The 5,962-nt window shown below is 42.6% G+C and overlaps 1 annotated feature.

Moving 5' to 3' along the window:
* Positions 4,841 to 5,590: an enhancer, noted in NCBI's record as "H3K4me1 hESC enhancer chr2:208175080-208175829 (GRCh37/hg19 assembly coordinates)". NCBI's record gives its function as "activates a minimal SCP1, AML or CMV promoter by ChIP-STARR-seq in naive H9 embryonic stem cells {active_cell/tissue: H9 hESC(naive)}" and the evidence as "EXISTENCE:reporter gene assay evidence [ECO:0000049][PMID:30033119]".

The following is a 5,962-nucleotide window of genomic DNA, read 5'->3' as shown; positions in this document are numbered from 1 at the left end:
AAAACATTCTTTAGTATAGTCACTTCTAGGATCATTAACAGTAATTCTCTAATATCATCCAATAAACTCAAATTTCCCCAGTTATCCCCAAAGTATCTTTTATACCTGTTATTTTTCAAACCAAGATTCATTAAGGTCATGGATTCCATTCAGTGTTTCTAGTCACTTTTAATCTAGAATAGACCCCACCCTCTCTCTCTTTTTTTTTTTCTCACAACATTGTGTTTTTTGAGAGACTAGGCCAGCTATTTTGTAGAACATCCCACATTCTAGATGTTTCTTGTTTTATTGGGTCATAGCATTTTTCTTTATCCCTTAGGCTTGGTCCAATTTGGGTTGAACATCCTTCAAAAGTGATGCTGTACACTCATATTGCATCACATTAGGAGGTATATAATGTTAGAATGCTCTACTATTAATGATGCTGATTTTTAATTTGTTTAATTTCAGTATTTCCATAAAAAAAGTTAGTATTTTGGATAGTAGAGAGCTATTTTGTACTAAAATTAAGGTGATTTGCAGTGTGCAAAATAGTTACAGGCAACAGTTTGCAGGAATAGTCTAAAATGATGACTCATTATTCATTATTCTACCATTGAGGGGAGAGACACAGCTGAATGTTAAAGGGACTTAAGAAATAGTTAAGGTCAGATTACCTCTCCCCAGGAGGATAAGATGATTCCCATGTGGCCCAGATCCTGGTAGGTACTTTGAGAACACAGGTTTCAGGCCTGGGTGACGGTGTGTAAAAGGCTTAAGATGGTGTCGGTGAAGTTCAGCCACCAGCCCCCACTGCTTCTTCCCTAAATTTTAGGAAACCCTCCAGGCTATTAGGCAAATAGTTATACAGCTCAAGTGGAAATTCTAGCCCTACTGCTTGTGCTGCTTTTATTTCAAGTGCAACGACTACACATTTATCTATTTGATTTAAAAAATTGGTCCCTGCTTTAAAAAGCCTCTGGGCACAGGAACAGTAAAATTATTCAATAAAATACTTAAATCAATTGATACCACCATGTTTAAAAACACAGTCTATCACCAAGGGACAGAAAATGCCATGCCTAGTGTGAGATTCTTTTTGGCTACACAAATTTTAAAAGGCAGGTTTTACACTGGATTTTAAACATATGTAAGCCTGGGTCTGGTTGAACTAGTGAAGACAGATGGCATGATTGAAGAGACACCCTTCTCCTGATTTGGGTGGGCAGGTGGGTGGCTAGCAGCACTGTTGAAATTATCATCCAGGCTAACCTGCATCCCTTGTTCACTGTGCGCTAGGCACTCTTACTAGGCTAAAAGACTTATAATACCGACGTCATTTAATTATCACAACAAACCTGTGAGGTAGGTATGACTGTTATCCCCATTTTACAGGAGAAAAAAACCAAGGCACAAACAGAGGCACAAAAAGGTCAAGCCAACTGTCTAATGTCACACTAGCTGGTTTATGATAAACCTGGGATTTGAACCCACGCACTTTGGTTCTAGAGCCTGTGCTTTTGCTTTTAATTTTTGCATTTCCATTCTAAACTGACTACAGTCATTCATTTGGTAACATATTTAATGAATTATATACATGATATGTTTATGTTTGTGTATGTATCTTACTATGTGCCTGGCATTTTATTCAGCTGAGCTCTGGAATGCAATCAAAGTCCAGAACACATGTGGCTCCTCAGTTCAGGCTGAACCCAATTCCAGTTGACCCCAATTCAGGTTGACCCCTAATTGTATGGGTCTTGGATTTGTAGATAAACCTGATGAAGGGGCCACATGTCAACAAGTTATGTAATTGCTGACAGAGGCATTTCAGGCTGGGAAATCTTTTCATTCTTTCCATTACATGGGTTCTGTGCTATTAACATTTAATGACATGTTGGAGGTGCGTTAAAATTTATCACTGTGTAGACGATACAAGAATGGCCCCAAGGAAGCTGATGTTATAAAAGCAGACTGATGGAGGGAGAATCAAAAGATAAGGAGGTAACTTGAAAAGTATCTTCCATATGGATTGCTCATATTAGCTGCATTCTCTCAAGGATAGAAACTAAATACAGCAAGCAAAAAACCCCACTTTAACAGAATCCATTTAGAGATCCTATTTTGGATATAAGGATTTTTTATGAGGAGATGAAGTGGCTTGTTTCAGAGAGGTACTGTTTCAACAGTAACAGTGGAAACAAGGAAGGCTTCATTTGTGCAGTCTAGTTGAAAGCTCATCAAACTTATACAAGTGCAGAGACTATGAGATGGAAAGACAGTTGCATTTCAAAGAAGACCAATAAAACAACATCACTTTTCATTGTTTGCAGCTTTATAGTTTCTAAACCACTTTCTCATGCTGTATCAAATCTATCTCGCATGCATCCTCTCTTCCTCGTGGGATTCTCTCATCTGCCTGAGAGTCTCTCATCCTTCCCTGTCCCCTGCTTGCGCTGAAGTTGCTTGTTCTGAAGTAGCTGTCACTTTTGAAGCCAAAGGGTTTTGGGTGGGGCTGCAGGGTTTCACCACTCATGGTCAATCTGGAGACTCTGTCTCTTCCAGACACTCCCAGGCTTGGGTGAAATGTCATACTAAAGGACAGAGGAGTTGATTTCAGGGGAGACTGGGGAGACATGGGTAAAGATAAGGCAATATGGAAGCGTGGGGCGGTAAAATCTCCAATGGGTGAATATTGACCAATGTTCTGTTCTCTCTTGATACATTGCTTCAGGGTAGAGTTTCTCCATGTAAGATGTCCTGTGTGGTCCAATGGATGCTCTTGTCAAGTGACCAATGTGTCCCTTTGTGGCTTCACACGAAGCAGTAGTCAATGTAGGAGCCCACCCGTGTTTTATTTCTTCTCATTCTTTCTGTTTTTTTTTCTTTCCCTTTTCCCTCATTCCCAATGCCTAGGGATTGTACCTCCTACTTAAAGCACCAGCACTTGATCCCTGCCTCAGGCTCTGTTTTCTAGGAAATTGAGTCTATACATATTTTATTTCAAACTCTTGCCAACATTTTGACTCAGGCAGGTATTTTTGTTGTTGTTGTTATTGATCATATTTTAGAGATGAAAAAGCTAAGGCCCAGAGAGTTTAAGCGACTAGCCCAAGACTACATTCATTCATTCATTACTTCATTTATTTAGCAGACATTTTTCAAACACTGTCTGTGTGCCAGGCACTGTTCTATGTGCTGGTGGTGACTAAGAGAGACAAGGTTATGCCTTCATGAAACTTAAATATGAATTGGTGGAGACAGATGGTACATAAGTAAATACATCAATCAACAAATTAGGGCAGTGGTAAATTATATTATTCTATTCTATACAACAGGGTTTTGTGTTAGAAAGTGGAGGGAAGGCAAGGAGAGCTAATTTATAATGTGATCAGGACAAGCATTTCTGAAGAGGTGACACATGAGCTGACGCCAGGGCTAGGTTAGAACTTCTAGAGGCTCTAAAAACTCATAGTTCCCCATCCCTGCTTGTGTATTGTAATTCGAATAGAAACAGTACCATGTTGTGTAATGAAGTCCAACATAGAAGGTGCCTGGTAAATATCTGCTAAATGAATGAATTAATGAACAAATGACAGATTCTTATTTTCCCCATGATGACTACTTGGATTTTAAAAATATATATCAAATTTCAAATTCTCCTCCCAACCCCCCAAAAAAACCTTTTTCTGGGAGAGTGTTCCCTATTGAGTAATGCAGTATTTGTTAAGGGTGAAATGATTAGCAGACTACAGACACTTTTAGGACATTGTAGGCAGAGGGAACAGCATGTACAAAGACAATGAAGTATGAACCAGCCTGAGTGACTTAAAGGAACAGAAAGATAGGCTGATGTGTCTGGGGAGTAGCAAGTGAGAGGGAGAGAGGTGTGAGATGGGGTAAGAGAGATGGCAAAAGCCAGATGATACAATCTTGAATTCCATGATGAGGGGTTAGGATTTTATTTTAAGGGCAATAGGGAGCCATAGGAAGATTTTTAGCAGGTGAGCGACATGATGAAAGTGATTGCTAAGTGGTAATTCTAAGTCTAGAACTCAAACCTCTGACTCCTGGACCTAAGTATTTCTATACTAAGCAGGTGTCAGAATTGGAACCAGGGGCTAAAGTCTGAGGCTCCCACTCCTGTGATAGAGTGAAGCCTAGCTTCATAGTCGTGTCTTGTAATATGAGGCCTTCAGATGACGCAACAATATGTCTCCAACTGTACCCTGTTTCCTGGCAATAGATAGTATGAGACAGACTCATGAAAGCACATCTGCTCAATTGGGCCTGTGTTGTTCCATCTATAGACTGGGACTGATGTAACCTCTCACCCATATAGGGAGGTGGTGGAGTGGTGACTCACAGGTCATCAGGACAGGAAGCATGTGATGTTGGGACTGCTGAGAATCACCAGTGGTTCTCATCAGTCTGAATACTCCAGTCGTCAGAACAGCAACATCTATCCTGTCATTAAAGAAGTGAACATTATGGAGAAAGTGCTTCATCCAGTGTAAGAGGGCTATGTGGTTATGTGCAGTAACAAGGGAAAGGCCAGCAGGAGTCTCATGGTTTTAAACATCATCCAGAAAAATGGCAGGGAAAGACTGGTAACCACCATCTGATGAGTAAAGTTTTATTCTGTTACTGTTTGTTGCTTTTGCCTGAAAAGGATGGAGGATTTTCTTAAATGGGACACCTTTGCGAAGAATTCTGAGATTCTCAATAAATGGGCACGTCAGTGCATATGTCGGGGGTCACTATTCTGAGGAGGATTCAGGACTTATCCATAGGCTTGAAGCTTTTCTCTCCCTTTCCCTCCCAACTTCCATTTTCTTAAAAGAGAACTCCAGTCTGGAGACACAAGCTCCTGTTTTCTCAGCGATGCCTCTCTCCAGGGAGGAGAGTGGGACCAGGCAGTTCTTGAGGCCTTTGGTAATTCATGCACCTTGTGCTTTTGCACCGTAAGTGCACGAATTCCCAACACTGACACAGCCATCCCCTTAACTCCCTAGCCTGTACCCCAGAGCAGCTGTGCTTTCTTCTGGCTCTGCAGATATCAATTCCTAAATAGGATGCCTTGAGGACATCAGAGAGACTGCCCCCTCCAGCTGATCACTTATGTGACATTTTGATGTTATTAATGTGTGTTCATCTGCTCCCTTCCTTCTCCCAAAAGGAGACAGGGAGAGAAACATTATTGAATAGAAATGCGGGGACCCACGGAGTGAGCATGCAGGAGGGGGAAGGGAGAGAGGAAATTTAAACTGGAGAGAGGTTGATGGAGCTGAGGGACGTGGAGAGGACTCCAAGGGGAGTGGGTAAACGACAGTTTGTGCATCACAAATCACACCTTCTCTCGAGTCCAACTGTTTCACCATCCTGCCCCCACCAGCCCGGCGCCTCTTAGCAATTCCCCGGCTGTCAGCTCTCTACCTGCTTGGCTCTGGCTGCTCTGCTCAGAGCTGCTCCCCTGGGCCTCCCTGGCTTGTCAGTGGGCTGCGTCAGCATCACGCCACACTGTCTCCCGTTGGCCCGGTGATCAACGCCTGACGGGCCGGCCCTCTCTCCCCTCTCAGCTGGGGCCAATGGGAGTCAGGGGAAGGTTTTGGTTACAAACGAAAATAAAATAAATAAGTCATACTCCTGCACTCAGGAGTCTGGGAAGAACGTCTTCATGGCCTCATAAATAATCTTTCCTTTTAAATCTGTCCTTCTTCTTCTAGATGTGCCTCCCACCCGCCCTCCACCCCGGCCCCCTTGGGCTGCCCCTTACAGTGCAGGGAATACAAAATGAGAGGCTTAGATTTAGACTTGGTGTTGGTAATAGCACCTCCCACAAAGGCATTTGTACCGTGTGTGTGTGTGTGTGTGTGTGTGTGTGTGTGTGTGTGTGTGTGCGCGCGCGCGCGCACGCAGGAGCACATGCACAGAAGCCAGCAAGATAGAATTCATGACAGTGTTATACTGATCCCACCCTGAC

Source organism: Homo sapiens, chromosome 2, assembly GCF_000001405.40.
Source record: "Homo sapiens chromosome 2, GRCh38.p14 Primary Assembly".
NCBI classification, from domain to species: Eukaryota; Metazoa; Chordata; class Mammalia; order Primates; family Hominidae; genus Homo; species Homo sapiens.
The sequence above is the reverse complement of the archived record's forward strand: the minus strand, read 5'-3'. Positions and strand labels throughout refer to the sequence as shown.